Source organism: Homo sapiens, chromosome 7 (assembly GCF_000001405.40).
Source record: "Homo sapiens chromosome 7, GRCh38.p14 Primary Assembly".
NCBI classification, from domain to species: Eukaryota; Metazoa; Chordata; class Mammalia; order Primates; family Hominidae; genus Homo; species Homo sapiens.
In genome coordinates, this window is record NC_000007.14 from 12,057,443 (window position 1) to 12,079,389 (window position 21,947).

A 21,947-nucleotide genomic window follows, 5' to 3' on the forward strand; every position below is an offset into this window, starting at 1 on the left:
AGTAGTCTCCCTTTATCTGCAGTTTTGCTATCCATGGTTTCAGTTACCCACAGTCAATCACAGTCTGAATATACTAAATGGGAAATTCCGGAAATACACAATTCATAAATTTTAATTTGCATGCTCTTCTGTTTAGCATGATGAAATCACACACCATCCTACTCCATATTGCCCAAAATGTAAATCATCCATTTGATTAGTGTATCCATGCCATATAGGCTACCTGTCCATTAGTCATTTATTAGCTGCCTTGATAATCAGATTAATAGATCACAAGAAGAAGAAAGGTGGGTATAGTATAATAAAATATTTTGAGAAAGAGAGAAATAGACCACATTCACATAACTTTTTGTAGCATATCATTATAAATGCTGTACTTTATTATTAGTTATTGTTGTTAATCATTTACTGTGTCTAATTTATAAACTTTATTATAGTTATATATGTATAGGAAAAACATAGTATATATAGAGTTCAGAACTATTCATCGTTTCAGGCATCTACTATAGGTCTTGGAACATATCTCCAACAGATAAGGGGGTACATAGATAAAAATTTGTTAATGGATATGCAATATAAAAGAAAGCAATCCCTGCCTTTAAGAACACAAAGTGTTGGGGGTTTGGGGAGTATAAGAGGAGTGTTTTTGTATGCAACTGAATCGTTTTCAACTCAAAATAGAAGACTACAACTACCAGATATTTTATACAAGCCTCAAGCTAACCAAAAACCTGTAATAGGTATACAAAGGATAAAGAGAAAAGAAAAACAGTAAAACGCATAAATACATACATACACACACACGCACGCACACACACACACAATAACAAAGGAAGGAGACAAAAGCAGAAGAGAGGAATGAAGCAACTGCAAAAAAACAAAATCCAAAAAACAAAACCCCAAACAATTAACAAAATGGCAAATAATTACCTTAAATATAAATGGATTAAACTCACCAATCAAAAAGTATACAATAGCTGAATGGATGGAAAAAAAAAGAGGATCAAGTTACTTTCTGTCTACAAGAGTCTTACTTTAGAATCAAAGACATACAAAGGCTAAAAGTGAAAGGATTGAAAAGGTATTTCCTGTAAATGGTAACTAAAAGAAAGAAGGCATGGATAGACTTTAAGTCTAATTCTGTCTCCAGAGACAAAGAAGGTCATTATACAATAATAAAAGGATCAATCCAACAGAGAGATATAACAAATGTAAATGTACCCACCCAGCACTTTGGGAGGCTGAGGTAGGCAGATCACAAGGTCAGCAGTTCAAGACCAGCCTGGCCAACATGGTGAAACCCTGTCTCTACTAAAATACAAAAATTAGCTGGGCATGGTGGCATGTGCCTGTAACCCCAGCTATTCGGGAAGCTGAGGCAGGAGAATTGTTTGAACTGGGACCTGGGAGGCGGAGGTTGCAGTGAGCTGAGATTGCACCACTATACTTCAGCCTGGGCTACAAAACGAGACTCTGTCTCAAAAAAAAAAACAAAAAAAAGTAAATATAAATGAACCCAATATCATCATTTAAATATATAATGCAAACACTGAGGAGAAACAAACAATAATATAATATTATTTGAGATTTCAATATCCCACTTTCGATAACGAACACAACGTCCAGACAGAAAGTGAATAAATATATGACTTGAATAATAATACATACCAAATAACACAACTTCTAACCCAGCAGCAAAATACGCATTCTTCTCAAGTGCACATGGAACATTCTCCAGGATAGATCATATGTTAGGTCACAAAACATGCCTCAATACATTTAAGAAGATCAAAATCATTACAGGTGTCTTTTCTAACCATGATGTAATGAAACTAGAATTTAAAAACAGGAAGAAATTGGAAAAATTCACAAAAATGTAGGAACTAAACAACACACCATTGGGTCAAAGTGGAAACTGAAGAAAATTTAAAAGTATCTCAAAACCTGAATAATAAAACACAACTTACCAAAACTTGTGAGATACAGCAAAAGCAGTAATAACAGACTATGTTATAATGATAAACACCTACATTAAAAATAGGAAAGACCACAAATAAACAATTTTATACTTTAAATAATCAGTGGAGAAAAAGAACAAACTAAACCCTAAATTAACATAATAAAAATTAATAAAGATTAGCAGAAGCAAATCAGAGAACAAAAAAATGGGAAAATATAGCAAAACTAAGGATTGGGTTTTTCAAAGATAAATAAAATCAATAAACCCTTAGACTAGACTATGAAAAAAAGAGAAAAGACTCAAATAAATAAAATCAGATTTGAAAAAGGAGACATTACAATGGATACCTCAGGAATAAACAAAGATCAAAAAGAACTGTAAATGACAATTATACACTAACAAACTAAAACAACCTAAAATGAATGGATAAATCCTTAGAAACTTACAAGCTACAAAAATTGAATCAGGAAGAAACAAAGTCTGAGAGGCCAATAACAAATAAGGAGATTGAATCGGTAAAAAAATCTTCCAATAAGGAAAGCCCCAGGATCTTATGGCCTCATGTTTGAATTCTATCAAACATTCAAAAAAGAACTGAAACTAATCCTTTTTAATCTCTTCCAAAAATAATTCTTCCAAACTCATTTTATGGGGCCATCATCACTCTGATAACATAACCATGCAAATCCTACAAGAAAAGTAGAAGTCCATATCCCTGATGCACATAGACTTAAAAATCCTTATTTTTAAGGATTTTATATTTATATTAAGGATTTAAGGATTAAATATTTATAAATATAAATATATATTATATTTACATTTATATTATATTGCTATTTATATTAAGGATTTAAGGATTTTAATAACATACTAGCAAACCAAATTAAAAGCCCATTAAAGGATCATATGCCATGACAAGTGGGAATTTTTCTAGAGATTCAAGGATGATTCAATATAAGCAAATTAATCAGCATTATACAACAGTTTACCAAAATAAAAAGAAAAGCATTCATGGTCATCTCAACAGACTGAGAAAATGCATTTGGCAAAGTTCAACACCCATTTGTAATTGAAGCTTTCAACAAAATAGGTAGAGAAATAATGCAGCTTAATATAAGAAACATATATGAAAAGCCTGAAGCTAACATCATAAGCAATGGGGAAAACCTGAAAGATTGCCCTCTAAGATCTGGTATAAGGCAAGAATGCCCACTCTCACAACTTCTTTTCAACATAGTTCTAGAAGTCTTAGCCAGAGAAATTAGACAAGCAAAAGAAATAGAGGGCATCCAAATTGGAAATAAATAGGCAAAATTATCTCTGTTTGCAGATGGCATAATCATATATATATATATATATATATATATATATATATATAACTCTAAAGGCTCCAGAATAAAACTGTTAGAAATAATCATCAAATTCAGTGAAGTTTAATACATGGTGTATAGGGAAGTTTAATGTATTTAGGTAATTCATTATTAGTGTATAGATATGAAACTGATTATTGTATAATGAGATTAATATATAATAATCAGTTTCATTTCTATACACTAATAATGAATTATCCAAAAAAATTAAGGAAATAATCTTATTCACAGTAGAAACAAAATAATAAGATATTCAAGTGTAAATGTAGCCAACAAAGTGAAAGACTTCTAAACTGAAATTTATGAAACATTGATAAAAGAAATTGAAAAAGGCACATATAAATGGAAAGAAGTCCCTTGTTCCATGGGATTTGAAGAATTAATACTATCAACATGGCTGTACTACCCATAGTTATGGACATATTCATTACAATCCCTGTCAAAATCCTAATGGCATTCTTTATGTATAGAAATACAGAAAAACAGTCCTAAAATTCATGTAGAAGCACAAAAGACACCATGTAGCCAAAACAATTGAACAGTAAGAACAATGCTAGAGGCATCACACTTTCTGATTTCCAACTGTACTACAAAGCTATAGTAATCAATATAGTATGGTATTAGCATAAAACACACATGAAGACCCGTGGAATAGAATACAGACCAGAAATAAATCAACACATTTATGGTCAACCAATTTTCAACAGGAGTGCCAAGAACAGAAAATGGAGAAAGGATAATTTCTTCAATAAATGATGTTGGAAAATCTGGATATTCAAACACAACCAATAAAATTGGACCATTATCTCACACCATATACAAAAATAAACTCAAAATAGTAAACTTAAAAAGTAAGACCTGAAAATATAAACTATTAGAAGAAAACTTAGGAAAAAGCTTTTTTGTTTAGGCAAATCATAAATTTGGGCAATGATATTATTTTGAAATGATTCCCAAAGTACAGAACTTTGGGTATCATTTTACAAAAGCAAAACTAGACAAATGGAATTCCTTCCAATGAAAGGCTTCTGCACAGTAAAAGAAACAATCAACAGCATGTAAAGGCAATCTATGGAATGGAGAAAATATTTGCAAACTGTACATATATTGGAAAGGGGTTAATATCCAATATATATCCAAAGGAAATGAGAGTAGTATGTTGAAGACGTATCTCACTCCTATGTTTACTGAAATATTCACGATAGCCAAGACATGAAATCAATCTGTGTCTATCATCAGATAAATGAATAAAAAATATATTATGTATATATATACATACAATAGAATACTGAATATTAGAATATTTTTCAGCCTTATGAAAAGAAGGAAAACCTGTAATTTGCAACATGAATGAACCTGAAGGACATTGTGCTAAGTGAAATAAGCCAGGCACTAAAGGACAGATACTGCATGATCCAAAACAGTCAAACAAATAGAGACAGAGAGTAGAATTGTAGTTGCCAAGAGCTGAGGATAGGGGGCAGAATGGGGAGATGATGGTTAAAAGGCATAGTTTCAGTTACACAGGAGGAATAAGATCTGAAGATTTATTGTACAGCATGATAACTATAGTTAATAAAAATGTATTTTATACTTGAAATTTGCTCAGAGAGTAGAACTGAGCTGTTCTAACCAAATACACAAAAAAAGTTAACTATGAGATGATGGAAATGTTAACTAACTTGATTGTGGCAACCATTTCGAATGTATATGAGCATCAAAATATCATTTTGTACACTGTAAAAATATATGATTTATACTTGTCAAGTACACTTCAATAAACCTGGGAGGGGGAAGTAAACAAAACGAAACCAAACTCATACAAATCAATAGCTAAAAAACAACCCGGCCAAAAAATGGGCAAGAGACCTAAATAGAGATTTCTCAAAAGAAGCATACAAATGGCAGGTACCTACAAGTATATGAGAAGGTATCACTAATTATCAGGGATAACCAATCAAAATGTCAATGAGATATCACCTCACATCTGTTAGAGTGGCTATAATCAGAGAGATCTGGAAGAAAGGGAACCCTTGGGTAATGTTGCTGGGAATGTACAAACATGATGGAAAACAGTATGTGGGTTTCTAAAAAAATTAAAAATAGAACTACCCTATGACCCAGAAGTCTCACTTCTAGGACTATATAAAAACAAAACTAAATCAAGATTTTCAAGAGATCTGCACCCCCATATTCATTGCAGCTCTATTCACCATAGCCAATATGTGCAAACAACCTGTGTCCATCAACAGGTGACTGAATAAAGAAAATGTAGTATAAATACATAATGGAATGTTGCACAGCTTTTATGAATATTTTTTTCTGAATATTATTCCACATTGCAAAAAAATATAAAAACCAGTTATTTGTAACAACGTGGATAAACCATGTATAAATAATCCAGTCACAGAAAAACAAATGCTTCATGATCTCCTATGTGGGATCTAAAAGAATCAAACTCATAGAAGCAGAAAGAAGAGTGTTTGCTAGGAACTGGATAGATGGGGAAACAGCAAGATCCTGTTAAGGAGTATAAAGTTTCAGTGTAACAAGAATAAGTTATGGAGATTTAATGTATACCAATGTGACTATAATAAACAACTTACTGTATAATTGAAATTTGCTAAGAGGTTAGCTCTTAAGTGTTCTCACAACAAAAAGAAACAAAAATGATAACTCAAGAAATGGCTATGTTAATTATCTTGGCTGTTGCACTTATGTCACAATGAATATGTATATCAAATCATCAAATTGTACTTCTTAAATATATACAATTTTCAATTGTCAAATATACTTCAATAGAAACATTTTTTTCTAGAGGAAACATTTGTTATGACTTTCAGTAAGAAAAATCTGTTAAGGACTTTAAAAATAGCATTCCCAGAAGTTTTCTGGTTGAGAGACTGGCCTATGATTTTCTAGGACATCACTTTTTTGTCTGTTCTCTTGTGAATAATTTGGAGAACAATGGGTCACTGGAGGAAAGACTCTTCGAACCCAACACCTGATGCAGCCTTTGGCTCCTCCTACATCTTGAAGCATGACTTTTGATAATTTTATGAACTTCAATTTTCACATCTATTAAGTGAAAATAATCAAAAGAATGAAATATAATGAAAATCAAAATACCTTTCAGGGAAAGAGCTGAAAGAAACTCATTTAATTGGAGAAAAAAATTCTACCAAAAATAAATTTGCACATTTAATTTGCTCTGGATATTGCTGTCCTAAACTATTCTATAGTAGACAGAATTATGCCACCCCTTCCTCCCCTCAAGAAAAGTTGTTCATATCCTAATATGTTACCTCTCATGGCCAAAGGGACTTGGTTGATGTTATTCAGGTGAAGAAATTTTTTTTTTTTTTTTGATATAAGATCTCACTCTGTCACCCAGGCTAGACTGCAGTGGTATGATCTTCGCTCACTGTAGCCTCGACCTCCTGGGCTCAAGTGATTCTCCCATCTCAGTGCTCAAGTAGCTTGGACTGGAGGTATATGCCACTATGCCCAGATACTGGATAATTTTTTTTATTTGTTGTAGAGATGAGGTCTCACTATGTTGCCCAGGCTGGTGTCAAACTCCTGGCCTCAAGCAAGCCTCCCGCCTCGACCTCCCAAAGTGCGGGGATTACAGGCAGAGCCACCACAGCTGGCCATAGGTAAAGGATCTTTAAATGGGGAGATTATCCTGGATTACTCACATGGGCCCAGTCTAAATATACGAGTTCTTAAAAATGGAAACTTTTTCCCAGCTGCAATCAGAGAGATATATAACAAAAGATTGTCAGAGGATGAATTTTGCTCGTTTTAAAGATGCAGAAAGGGGGTCATAGTCAGGAAATGTGGGTAGCCTCTAGAAATTGGAAAGTCAATGAAACCAATCCTCCTAAAAGCCTCCAGAAAGGAATGCAACCCTGCTGATACCTTGATTTGAGACTAGTGAGACTATGTAGGACTGCCAGAAGAGTAACATAATTTAGTGTTGTTTTAAGCCACTAACATTGTGCTAGTTTGTTATGGCAACAATAGAAAACTAATACATATTGTTATGCTTATTCTCTTTAAGTAACTTTAAAAGGTAAAACTGAGATCTGCCCCATCCATAAATATAACTGAGTCATTGACATCAAATAGACCCGGAAGCAGATTAATGGTCTACATAATGTGATTATCACACATGCCACAGGCAAAGCAGTTACTAAGGATCAGTATGTATCTTCTCACTGAATCAGGGAGTAAACTTACTTTCATGGAGCCAAATCACAATTTGCCAATGAAGCTGGATGTTTGAACTTTTCACCTTGCTTTTATAAAAAGGGTGTTTTATTTTATGTTTTGCAAAACTTTTTTTTTTTAGCTTCCCTAGCCACCACAAAAGAGAGTTATACTTGCTGTAAGCTCCCCCAGGCAGAAATCAGAAATTAGAGGACATAGCAACAGAAAGAAGGGTCTTTTAAAAATGCCTGAATGACTTGTGTTTGTCTAACACCTAGCTGTGGTGGAAGAAGAGTATAAGAAACAGACTGTCTACTTATTGATTGTTGTAGGTAAAATATGCACCTAATTGCTTCAACAACAGAAATATAGTCTCCGTCTTGAAAGGAAGTTGAAATATACTATATTGAAACTGTTTTGCAGAGACTGCAAACAAGCAGGATCCTCCAGTTAGAATTAGTTTCAAGACTTATAATTTTAATATTTTAAGTACAAACAGGAGCTTGAGCTGGACAAAATGTCAGCTTATAGGACTTTATAAGTGATTTCTTTACTGATTATATGAGAATTATTTGTGATTAGCATTTCATTCACCTATAAAACGAAAGATTGCTTTAAGTAGATATTTCTCTTTTTACGTCAAATGGAACAAAATTTAGTTTAGACGGTAACTTTGTTTCTGCACTTAAAAACACATTGAACTGCAGTCCAGCACTTATGTAAATGTTTTACCATCATTTTATAATGTGAATTAGTGACATTAATGAAAATAAAAAATAAAGGTGTATGTGAAGCTCTTCCCCACTTGAAGTGAATGGAGACCTGTTCCCTGGAGGAGAATGGGAATCCCAGGCAGGCCCCCAAAATTGTTGGAAGTAAATGTTCAGTGCCACAAAGTAAAAATAGCATTCAGACAAAAGTTTTCTCAACAAGACAATTTACTTCTATAGAAGGGTGAGTCTCATGGATAGAGCAATGGAGAGAGCACACCAGACAAGGGATGGGAAGAGCGTCTTATCCTTAATGCAGCTAGTCCCTACTGCTGTGTCTTTCCCCTATTGACTAGGGTTAGACCACACAGTCTAAGGTAATTCCAATTGGCTGCTTTAAAGAGAGCAGGGGTATGACCTGGAATGGTGAGGTGAGTAGTTTCGGTGGGAAGGATGGTTACAAAACAGGTGACTAAGGATGACTAAGGACAGAACAGGTGACTAAGCATGGAACAGGTGACTATAAGGATGAGTAAAGACAGAGGAGGTGACTAAGGACAGAGCAGGTGATAGAGATTAGGAGGGGGCTGTTTATTGAAACTAGGGACAAGAGACGTAAAGAACGAAAGGACGTTAAGAAACATATATAAGAAACATATACCACAATGATGTGCTGCCCTTTTTCACTCTTCTCTTTTGTCACCCAGGTTTTACTAAGGACTAGACATGTTACGTTTGCTTTCCCTTTGTATTCCTAATAGAAAACATGCTGTATGATTTTGTTTGTTTTATATCTGCTTATTTTAGGACTGTTTGCCATACCACAGAAGTAATGCAACTTGGTCTGCACTAAGGCCTTGTAGGATACAGTAGATTTCTCTTTAAAGAACCAATATGTCACTATGTTCAGCTTCCCTGTTCTTTGTTCCTCATCTTAAAGTTTAACTTCCTTGTTCTTTACGTCTCTTTGTCCCTAGTTTCAGTAAACAACCCCCTCCTAACCTCTATCACCCTCTCTGTCCTTAGTCACCTGCTCTGTCCTTAGTCATCTGCTCTGTCTTTAGTCATCCTTATAGTCACCTGTTCTGTCCTTAGTCACCTGCTCTGTCCTTAGTCATACTTAGTCACCTGTTTTGTAACCATCCCTCCCACCAAAACTACTCACCCTGCCATTTCAGCTTGTACCACTGCTCTCTTTAAAATAGCCAACCCGAATTACCTTAGACTGTGCGGTCTAACCCTAGTCAATAGAGGAAAGACACAGCAGTAGGGACTAACTGCATTAAGGATAAGACTCTCTTCCCCTCCCTTGTCTGGTGTGCTCTCTCCATTGCTCTATCCATGAGACTCACCCTTCTATAGAAGTAAATTGTTTTGTTGAGAAAACTTTTGTCTGAATGCTATTTTCACTTTGTGGCACCGAGCATTTACTTCCAACAATTTTGGGCGCCTGCCCGGGATTCCCATTCTCCTCCAGGGAATGGGTCTCCATTCACTTCTCGTGGGGAGACGCGTCCCATTGCCTCATTGTGGTGGCCTCAGGGTGAGAGATGGGGAACCACCCAGTGCGACAAATAAACTCGGGCTCTCAACAACCCAGAAGGAAACAGGATGATAGCTTGGGGAAAGGATTCTCACATACCGCAGCAATCAGGTAACTCTGTACACAGACCAAGTTAAGCAATGTCGCAGGGGTGACGAAGTATTTCCTTGCTGGTCAAGATATTCTGGAGGTTAAAAGTGTGTTTAAATGATCACAAACACTACTGCTTGCAGTGCTGCTTGTGTGAATGGTACTACGCACTACCGCTGTGTGGAGTGAGTGGGTCCTATCTGCGGTTCCATGGTCACCTCATACGGCTTAGGACAGATCCTGCCATGGGGTTCAAACTGGCATGCCAATACCAAGAGGGGCCTAGACACCCAAAAGGGAAGCGGCCAGAGTGGATGAAGCAAAAGAAGGGTGCAAGGATCCTCCAGCAGGTGGGGCTAAAAGATAGGCAAGAAATCTCTAGTATGAGGGATTAAGCCTAACTAGGACCCAACATGGGAAATACCCTAAGCAAGACAGGGAGTAAAAAGGATAAAAATACCAACAAAGATGATTCCCCCTCATAGTCCCCTAGGTCTCATGTTAAAATACTGGAAAAATAATGAGAGGACTAAACATAAGAAAAAGCAACAAATGATAAAATATTGCTGTTTTATTTGGACTCAGAGACCCATCTTCAAACCCTCAAATCTTCTGACCAAAGTTTGGGTCGAATGAAGATGTAATGTGTCAGCTTTTCATTCAATATGTAAATGATAAAAGCCTCGTTTCTCAAGAGGAACTAGACTATGCTCTTTGTTGGAGGCAGAGACCTGTCCTTTTCCCCTTAAAGACAACTAGGGAAGAACCCAATGTAACATCACAAAAGGAAAAATTACATAAGTTAGTTCCCATGCGCAAAGACTCCAGCATATGGGATCCCCTAGACCATCTTCCCCTGCTCAGTGACCCCAAGCCCTCTCCTCAGACAGCTGCTGCTGCCCAAGATCCTGCTCCAGATTCTTCACCTACTCACGTTATTCCCCCTCCTTACAATCCTGACTCTTGGAAATTATCATCCCAAGAGTCTGTCCCCTAACAGCCTAAGGACCCCTCCCTAAAGGGACTCCAATGTGAAATAGAACAATATAAAAAGGATATCCGAAACTTCCCTTTTCCCTCTACAACTAAAGAGTCAGCCCCTGATCTCCTTCCCTTAAGATAGGTGCCACAAGGAGGAGGAACCATTGACTTCATGGATACTCCCTTAACCAGTTCAGAATTCCAGAGTTTAAAAAAGGAGCTTAAGCCATTACTAGATGACCCTTACGGAGTGGCAGATCAAATTGATCAATTTTTAGGACCTCAGTTATACACTTGGGTTGAGTTAATGTCCATTTTGGACATCCTCTTTTCAGGAGAAGAAAGGAGTATGATTCATAGGGCTGCTATAGTAGTTTGAGAACGTGAGCATTCACCCAGTCAAAACGTTCCTACCATGGACCAGAAATTCCCTGCCCAAGACCCCCGCTGGGACAATAACAACACAACTCACCAGGAAAATACACAGGGCCTAAGGGAGGTGATAATCAAATGAACTCGGGAATCAGTACCCCAAACCCAAAATCTTTCTAAAACATTTAATATGCAACAGAAAAAGGATAAAGGGCCTATGAAATTCCTAGACAGACTGAAGGAACAAATGAGACAATATACAGGCCTCAATTTAGAAGATCCCTTTGGATGAGAAATGTTAAAACTCCAATTTTTCACAAAAAGTTGGCCAGACATTTCAAAAAAAGTACAAAAAAATAGAAAATTGGAAAGACCAGACCGTCCCCCGAGTGAACTTCGCATGGAAACTCAAAAGTTATGTGTGAGGAGAGACGAAAAAAATCAGAAACAAAAGACAAAACTTACATTATCCACCTTCCAACAGAAGACTCCAAATCCATGTCCTTCTAAACAGAGCTTCCAGAGACACAGAAACTATAAAGGGTCCAAACCCTTCTTTAAAAGACCTAAGCCTCCATCTGGAGGACCAAGGCCCTCTGAAGAGTATGGCAAAACAAAGTAAAAAAATCCCAGAACTGAGAGGTACAAAGGACAAGATAGGTGCTACAAATATGAAAGTACAGGCCACTTCAAGAGGAAATGTCCTGAATTCAAAAAAGAGAAAAAAGTCCTTCCGTTCATTACTTTTGAGGAAGAATAAGGGAGTCAGGGGCTCTGTCTCTTTTATGTTGAGTCCCACCAGGAGCCCTTAATAAATTTAGAAGTGGGACCTAAACATGAATTTATCACTTTTTGTTCGATTCAGGGATGACTTGTTCCTCTGTTGGTTTCCCCCCATCTAATATTGCCTACTCTTTGGAAGGACTTTTGCTCTCTGGAGTGAAAGGTGAAGGATTTAAAACAAAAATTTTAAAATACACAAAAGTCAAATACCAAGATCAATCAGCTCATATTCAGTTTTTGTTAATCCCTGAAGCAGAGACTAATTTATTAGGGAGGGATTTAATGTTGAAGTTAGGCAGAGGCCTACAAGTCAGACCAAGAGAATTCTTCACCTCATTAAACCTACTCACCAATACAGAGACAAAATACATTAATTCTAATGTCTGGTCCAAAGAAAAGAACTGAAGAAAACTCTGAGTCCCTCCAATCCACATCAAGCTAAAAACCCCCGGGGAAGTAGTAAGGAGAAAATAATACCCCATTCCCCTAGAGGGCAGGATAGGGTTAAAACCTATAAGTGAAGGTCTTACTAAAGATGGGCTTCTTGAGCCCTATATGTCCTCTTATAACACCCCAATACTGCCTGTCAAGAAATCAGATGGGTCATACTGGCTGGTAAAAGACCTTAGAGCCATTAACCAAATAGTCCAAACTACCCACCCCATTGTTCCCAATCCTTACACCATTCTCAGCAAGATTCCATATAATCATCAATGGTTTACTGTTACAGATTTGAAGGATGATTTTTGGACATGTCCCCTGGCTAAAGATTGTGAAGATATATTTGCTTTTGAGTGGAAAGATCTCCATCCAGGGTGAAAACAACAATATCGATGGACAGTCTTATTCCAAGGGTTCACAGACTCCCTTAACCTTTTCGGTCAAATTTTAGAACAAGTATTAGAAAAAGTCATCATCCCAAAACAAATATGCCTACTCCAATATGTTGATGATATTCTTATATCTGGTGAAGATATGGAGAAAGTAGCTAGCTTCTCTACACATATTCTTAACCATCTGCAGTTCGAAGGGTTACAAGTCTCAAACGGAAAGCTTCAGTAGGTAGAGCCTGAAGTTAAATATTTAGGCCACAGTGCAGACAAGTGAAAAATAGGGCCTAAATAAGTTGAGGGAATCGTATCCCTACCCTTGCCTCAAACTAAATAAAAACTCAGGAAATCTTTAGGGTTAGTTGGATACTGTCACTTATGAATTGACTCATATGCACTAAACAATAAACTTTTATATCAAAAACTTGCCCAGAAGAAGCCTGACCATCTCCTGTAGACTTCTGAGAAAGGTGATCAGATCAAAGAGCTGAAAGAAAGGCTCATAACCACCCTTGTCTTAGCCTTACCTTCCCTAAAAAGCCATTCCACATTTTTGTCAACGTGGATAATGGAGTAACTTTAGAAGTGCTTACTGAAGGACACAGAGGCTGTTGGTAGCCTGTGGTCTTCCTGTCAAAAGTCTTAGATCCAGTTACTTGTAGATGGCCTCAATACATCCAATCCATTGCAACTACAGGAGTATTAGTAAAGAAAGTAGAAAGTTAACCTTTGGAGGAAAATTGACAGTAAGCATGCCCCACCAAGTTAGAACTATCTTAAACCAGAAAGCAGGGCAGTGGCTTACTGACTCAAGAATCTTAAAGTATGAGGCTATTCTGTTAATATTAACCACTGATAATTCACTTATCCCAGCAGGTTTCCTAACAGGGGATCCAAATCTAAAGAGAGAGCACAAATGTTTAGATTTAATTGATTATCATTTAAAAGTCCAACCAGACCTAGGAGACACTCCCTTCAGGACGGGACGAGAGTTATTTATAGATGATTCCTCCCGGGTGATTGAGGAAAAAAGACACAATGGGTATTCAGTACTTGATGGAGAAACTCTCGAAGAAATAGAGTCAGGAAAATTGCCTCATAATTGGTCTGCCCAAACTTGCAAGCGGTTTGCACTCAGCCAAGCCTTAAAGTACTTTCAGAACCAGGAAGGAACCATCTATACCAATTCTCAGTACACCTGTTGAGTGGCTCACACATTTGGAAAATTTTGACTGAATGAGGTCTCTTTAGTAGTAAAAGTCAAGACCTTTTTCATAAGGAGCTAATCACCCAAATATTTAATAATCTGCAGTTGCCAGAAGAATAGGTATTGTCCATGTCCCTGGATATCAGAAAAGTCTTTCTTGTGAAAGTCGAGGAAATAACCTAGCAGATCAGATAGCCAAACAGGCTGCCATTTCTTCTAAAACACCTATTTTTGACTTAACTCATTACCTTCCTTCTCCTACCATGATCCCCATTTTCTCTTCCACTAAAAAAGAAAAACTAATAAAAACAGATGCTAAAGAGAATTCAGAAGAAAAATGGATACTGCCAGACCAGACAGAAACGTTATCCAAATCCCTTATGAGGGAAGTCTTGTCCCAACTGCATCAAGGGACCCATTGGGGGCCCCAAGCCATGTGTGATACAGTCCTCAGAGTTTATCGGTGCACAGGAATTTATACCCTGGCCAAACAGGTTACAGACAGTTGTATAGTATGTAAGAAAACTAAAAAGAATACCCCTTTGGGGAAGGAGCCCAGGCTTAAGGCTATCCCAAAGTATCCAGATTGATTGCACAGAGATACCTTCAATAGGTCATCTAAAATACTTACTAGTGATAGCAGATCACCTCATTCACTGGGTCAAAGCTATCCCCTTTTCAAATGCAATGGCCAATAATGTAGTTAAGGTGTTAATTGAAAATACAGTGTCCAGATTTGGGCTAATAGAAAATATTGACTCAGACAATGGAACCAATTTCACTGCGCACATCACTAAAAAGCTATCCCAAACACTAGACATTAGATGGGAATATCATACTCCTTGGCACCCACCTTCATCAGGGAGAATAGAAAGAATGAATTAAACTCTGAAGAACCGCTTAACCAAGTTGGTTCTGGAGACTTGGTTACCATGGACCAAATGCTTTCCTATTGCCCTGTTAAGAATCTGAACTGCCCCTCAGAAAGATATTGGTCTTTCCCTTTAAGAGATGCTCAATGGATTGCCTTATTTACGCTCCACTATTGACATTCCTACCTTTGAAACAAAAAACCAATTCCTTAAAAATTATACACTTGGCCTATCTTCTACTTTCTCTTCTCTTAAAACCAAAGGTCTCCTAGCACAGACACTGCCCCTGGAGTTCCCAGTACATCAAAATCAGCCTGGGGATCACATCCTCATCAAAAGCTGGAAGGAGGAAAAGCTTGAATTGGCCTGGGAAGGACCTTACCTAGTGCTCCTAACTACTGAAACCGCAGTCTCAACAGCAGAAAAAGGATGGACCCATCACACCCGAGTCAAGAAAGCACTGCCCACACGAGAGTCATGGGCCATAGTCCCAGGTGAAAACCCTACCAAACTAAAGCTAAGAAAAAATTAACTATCTTTCATCTATTCTATTACTCCTCCTTTCCTTGCTGTATTGCTGACCACCTCATTATTAATGTAACCAGGTCAATTTTGCCTCAAACTATTACATTTGATTCTTGCCTTGTTATACCCCATAGAGACTTACCAAGTCAAAGACAGCTTTCCACTTCAGAAAAATACCTCTGTCCTTCTTGACTCCCCTCAGGCTGGAGATTAGTGAATCAGGATCATTTAGTCTGGGAAGGTTTCAGTGAAGACCCCAGTGTCAACTGGGAGTCTTGCCCCCCGATACAGAGCTTTTATGCTGTAGTTGGTCCAACATTCTGTGGACCACTAAAGTGCAAGGATGGACTGCCACAACCAGCAGTTGTAATTTCCTAAAACCACACATTCATTTTACTAAAGAAACAGCTTCCCCTAACTGTCAGCTCAACCAGTGCAATCCAGTACAGGTTATTATCTCAAACCCTCAAAGTTCTTCTTCTCTAAGTCGGTTCCTTTATTTAAGCTGGTTTTATGGGATGGGGGCTGAGGTTTCAGGAACAGACCCTATCAGATCCTTTGAAATACACTTCATTGCTCCCCTACTGCCTATACCTTCCCCTAAGCCTTCTTCCAAAACCTCTCACAATGAAACTGTTGTTTCTTCTCTATCTAATGACAAGACCAAGGTAGCTATTATAGAACTTAAAGACCTAAAACAAACTTTGGCAACTGAGACAGGGTATCAAGATGTGAATGCCTGGTTGGAATGGATCAAATATTCTGTCTGCACTTTAAACAAAAGCAATTGTTAAGCTTGTGTGAATGGCAGACCAGAAGCCCAGATTATCTGCTTTCCACTAGGATGGTCCTTCAGTCAACCAGACATGGGCTGTATAGTAGCTCTTTTCCAAGATTCCACAGCCTGGGGTAACAAGTCGTGTCAAGTTCTCTCTCTGCTATATCCCAAAATTCAACACTCTGCGGGTCAGCCACTGAGGGCCATCCAGCTTCCGCCTCCCGACACTAGGTTCACTTCGTGTCTCTCACAATAAGTAGGTAACTTAGCGTTCCTTGGAGACATAAAAGGATACAGTGAGCTGAATACTTTCCAAGAGCTTAACAATCAGTCAACGCTTATTCACCCCCGAGCAGATGTATGGTAGTATTGTGGTGGACCTTTACTGGACACTCTGCCAAGTAACTGGAGTGGCACTGGTGCTCTAGTCCAATTGACTATCCCTTTTGCCCTGGCATTTCATCAACCAGAAAAAGGAAAAACACAACGTTGTAAACCAAGGGAAGCCCCTTATTGGTCTTTCCACTCCCACGTTTATTTAGATACAATTAGGCTCACAAGGGTACCACATAAATTTAAAGCCTGGGATCAAATAACTGCAGGATTTGAGTCAATATTTTGGTGGTTGACTATCAATAAAAACATAGATTGGATAAATTACATCTATTATAATCAACAGCGATTTATCAATTACATCAGGGATGTTGTCAAAGGAATAGCAGAACAATTGGGGCCTACTAGACAGATGGCCTGGAAGAATAGAATGGCCACAGAAATGATATTAGCCAAAAAAGATAGTGTTTGTTATGATTAAAACTCAGTGTTGTACCCTCATCCCAAACAACACTGCCCTTGATGGGAACATAACAAGGGCCCTACAAGGACTTACTGCTTTATCTAATAAGTTAACTAAAAATTCTGGAGTCGACAACCCTTTCTTAAGATGGCTAGAGAGGTGGTTCAGTAAATAGAAAGGAATCATAGCCTCAATTCTTACTTCTCTTACAGCCATAACAGGTGTACTCATTCTTGTTGGGTGTTGTGTCATACCATGCATCCGTGGGCTAGTGCAAAGACTTATAGAAACAGCACTTACTAAACCCTCCCTTAGCTCTCCTCCACTTTATTCAGATAAGCTTTTCCTTTTAGAGGATCAAGTTGAACAACAAAGCCAAGACATGTTAAAAAGGTTTGAAGAGGAAGGACTATAAAAATTGAAAGGGATATTGAAGGATTCCATAAATTCCTCTTCTAAGAACCAATATGTCCATATATTCAGCTTCCATGTTCTTTGTTCTCCATTTTAAAGTTTAACTTCCTTGTTTTTTATGTCTCCTTGCCCTTAGTCTCAGTAAACAACCCCCTCCCAGCCTCTATCACCTGCTTTGTCCTTAGTCACCCTTAGTCACCTGCTCTGTCCTTAGTCACCTGCTCTGACCTTAGTCATCTGCTCTGTAACCATCCTTTCCACTGAAACTACTCACCCTGCCACTCTGGCTCGTACCCCTGCTCTCTTTAAAATAGCCAATTGGAGTTAGCTTAGACTATGCAGTCCAACCCTAGCCAATAGGGGAAAGACACAGTAGTAGGGACTAGCTGCATTAAGGATAAGACCCCCTTTCCCTCCCTTGTCCAGTGTGCTCTCGCCATTTCTCCATCCTCGAGATGCACCCTTCTATAGAAGTAAATTGCCTTGCTGAGAAAAATTTGCCTGAGTGCTATTTTCACTTTGAGGCACTGAGCATTTACTTCCAACAGGCCTTAATATTCTGACACTTCAATTTCTCTATAATTGTGCCAATTAAAAGGGTTTTTACTTTTCAGCAAAATTCTGGCCCAGTCATTCAAATTTCACAGTCACATAAGGAATCCTCAATTTTAAATGAGTTGCATTCCCAAAATGCATATGTAAATAGATTCCATTTAATCCCCATTGTCCCATTGAAATTGGTTAGACTTATTCTAAATTCAACACCCCCCCGAATTCTAATCACTTAATAATGTACTTTAAGCATATTACCCAATCAACATGGGTCACAAAGTTTTATGAATGCCAAGCATCTATCTAGCCCTGCTATGCTTTGTCCTTATTCCCTCTATTTGCCTGCAAAAGATATGCGGGCTTCTCCACTAATCATTCATGAGATCCCCATGACCTGGGACAGGACAAAGGTTCAACTGACTTTCCTAGCTTGTTTTTGTGAACTCTGAGGTTTGCACGAGGGGTGCCACCTTTCCACCAGAATCTGACTCTCACTGCCTATTTCCCTGACCTAATGCAAAACAAGACCCTTTCATTCCTCTTGTTTCTTGATTTCCTAAATGATGATGACAGTGCAAGAACAGAGGGAGGATAAATATTTATCCATTTGATACCCTCCCTAGAGAAAGTTAGTGTTGCATGAAAGGGATGGTGTGACGGTGGGACCAAATGGACTACCCTAAAGAATCACTATATGGGCCTAAAGAGTTTTGAGACAAGTTTCTGAAATGAGGGATGGGTGGAATGGGGAAGGGATGGATGCAAGGCGTGCTGGCGGCCTGCAGCCTTGCAGCACTTCCCAACTTTTCTGTGAAAAATTACTGGACTAGAATCAGACTGCCTGAGGTTGAATTTCAGCTTCATCGCTTATTACTTACAGCCCCTCTGAAAAGTCCATTTCTCCCAGCTTTAGTTACCTACATATAAAATGGAGATGAGTGTCTATCTATAAGGTTGTTATCTGTATTAAATGAGACAAGATAAGGACTAGCCTAGTCTAGTACACATAGGGAATGCTCAGTAACTACTATCATCATAATTACCAATCATGATTATTGTACGACGTCTGCTGATGTGGCAGTGTTGGTTAGAGTTGAAAGTCAGAAGAAAAAGGAACAGCCTACTTTTTCTTCCCCTTCCCACTAACTTTTCTTTTTAACCAATGTAGATAATATGTTGGTGCAGCCCTGGAGTTATACGGAAGATGTCAAATCAGGGTTTCAGGGTAAACAGCAGGAAGTAGCAAGATAGTTGTTAGCTGTGCAAATATAGGGAAGGAGATGATAGGTGCCCATGGGAATAACAGGTGGGCTGGAAGAAGAAGTCCATGCCCCTAGGCTGAAGAATCTTTAGCAGTAAGTACTACCCTAAGCCTCATGCACAAATTTAAATTTAGTCTTTTTGCACATGCCCAATGAGAGTTTACATTGTTCAACTTATCCCCCTTCCTCATGCACAGGTCTAAGCCCCGGAAGTCAATGCTCAGTGACACTAACACCAGGCCATCCCTAGTGAAGAGTATGTCCTTGAACAAAGCTGTAGCAGCCAGATGCTCTTCTTTCCCAGAGCCTCTTAATCTCTTGATTTTGTATATGACTAGGCTGCCATATACAAAACATAGGGAGGTAGAAGTCACAGCTACCAAGTAGGCAGAGTAGAAGAGGAAGCTTGTTTGCAAAAATAGGCATTAAAACAGACAACCCAGGGAGGAATAAACATGAAGGATGAAAAGTTCCAGTGATTTTTCCTGCTTATGTTAGCTAACTGAGGCCTACATGAATTTCAGCCTCTGGATTCAAGGCTATGCATTTGTACCCTTATTATTAATTTGCTTCATGATTTGAGAAGTTGGTTTCTATTATTTCAAATCAAAGAATTGTAATAGCAAAACTATATAACCTCTTCAACTTAGCCTGGGGTTTTTACCGCAGTGATTACCTTCTAGCTCAATTTGAAAATATTATTGGAACTTCCTCTTAAATAGTGAAAGTAATGGGCAGAAACTATCATCATAACTGCAACAGCCTAATCCTGTGAAGTCATTAAAGGTTTTCATGTGCGTCGATGCCACTTTATAGAGATGACAATATAACACTCTAACGGACTATAATAAACCTGAGCCAACTACAAACCCACTAAAATATATCAAGAAATCTTAATATCATTACTACTGAAACCATGTAGTGTGAAAATTCAGATTATCAGAATGTTCTAAGTTAATTCGTAGTAGTAGTATTAATATTTATGTTCTTTTGTTGCTGCTGTGTTATTTAAAAACTGTTTGACAAGTAAGCAACTTACTGTTTACTTTTTATTGAGATGGAGTCTCGGTCTGTCCCCCAGGCTGGAGTGCAGTGGCGCTATCTCGGCTCACTGCAAGCTCCGCCTCCTGGGTTCACGCCATTCTCCTGGCTCAGCCTCCCCGAGTACCTGGGACTGCAGGCGCCCGCCACTACGCCCAGCTAATTTTTTTTTTTTTTTTTTTTTGTATTTTTAGTAGAGACGGGGTTTCACCGTGTTAGCCAGGAGGGTCTCGATCTCCTGACCTCATGATCCGCCCGCCTCAGCCCCCCAAAGTCCTGGGATTACAGGCGTGAGCCACCGTGCCCAGCCCCTGTTTACATTTTTAAATCCCACATTTTAAATCCTCTATATTTTGGGGATTTAGGTTGCTTTGACAAGAATAGCTGGAAAAAAAGGAATATTACTGTCCTGACATAAATTTTTAGTTGTATTTTTAGTGACTACATATTTGTTTTAAATAAAGCTCTTCCAAATGTGGAGGGCAGGGGAGTCTCATTAACCATATGGAACAATCAAAATGCAAGTGATAGAGCATAAATAGTTTTTGCTTCCAAAATTTCAACCTATTCATATATTTTGATTGACAAATTACTTTACCTTTGTTTCCAACACTTTCTGCTATCATATGGAAATAATTGTTACCAAATTAGCTTCCTAATGCATATAACCATATTCATTAATAGTAATTTATCCATGAAAATTTAGAATTTTTCATAACAGAATTATACAACCTTAAAAACAATTTTTTTTTTTTGATAAAAGGTATTTATAGCCAACGTAATTACAATCACAAATACAGGGAAGAAAGAACAGAGATGAGCCATGATATCTAGGTTTAAGTGATATGTAATTTTTTTTAGTCAAAGATGTACTATAAAGATTTATATGCTGAAATGCTGATGCCTTGTTATTGCATTACTGGATCATTGGAGAGGGTGCTGGTAACAGTGTTTCCAGTATTTTGAATTGGGGATGTACACTGTGATTGGTAAAATGCAAACAATATTTCCGTGCCTGTATGTGTAGTGTAGTATGGATTATAATCCAGTCTCCTCTCTTGGCTTAGAGAAGAGGTTGACTTAGAATTGCAAGATGTGATGCCAAGGTGAATTACTGATTGAGTATTGTGCAGTCACAAGTAGGAAAGCAGAGGAAATTTGAACTATTAGGTACAAGGCAGTGAAAACAACACAAAGCAAGAACCAGTACCCAAAATTAAGCAAGACTTAAAAGATGAGATTTGGCAATTCCTTTTCATAGAGTTATAGTAAGTAGAATGGCAAAGTCTACAGAGAAGATAGATACAAAGGCCCCTAAGAGTCACCATGCTGTCTTCTCCTGCCATGAGTGAATGGGGTTTCCCTAAATCACCTAATGTGGGGTAGTCTGACTGGGCTGTATGTTTATTCACCTGAGGAGCTTTAAACAAAATACTAACACCTTAGGTTCACCCAAGACCAATTTAATCAGAATCTCTGGGGATTCATGTGCATAGCCAGCATCGAGAACTGCCTATTAAATGATTGAATGGAAGGAGTTTCCCCACTGGAGGAAACACTGAAGGTGAAATGTGGGTTCCTGTAACAAATCCCCTGCATTCAAATCTTTCCAGGGTACTGTGCACTGGAATTAAGATTGTAGTGCT

General features: G+C 37.9%; 1 long non-coding RNA gene across 1 annotated transcript in view, besides 1 other annotated feature; it reads right to left on the minus strand.

The window, feature by feature from the left end:
* LOC124901589 (uncharacterized) overlaps positions 1 to 21,947 on the minus strand; it is a 204,867-nt gene that overhangs the window by 167,572 nt on the left and 15,348 nt on the right. The gene's annotated exons all lie outside the window — the stretch shown is intronic.
* Positions 8,516 to 9,715: an enhancer, noted in NCBI's record as "P300/CBP strongly-dependent group 1 enhancer chr7:12105584-12106783 (GRCh37/hg19 assembly coordinates)". NCBI's record gives its function as "activates an origin of replication core promoter dependent on BRD2, BRD4, P300/CBP, MED14 and CDK7 cofactors, with strong dependence on P300/CBP, by STARR-seq in HCT116 cells {active_cell/tissue: HCT116}" and the evidence as "EXISTENCE:reporter gene assay evidence [ECO:0000049][PMID:35650434]".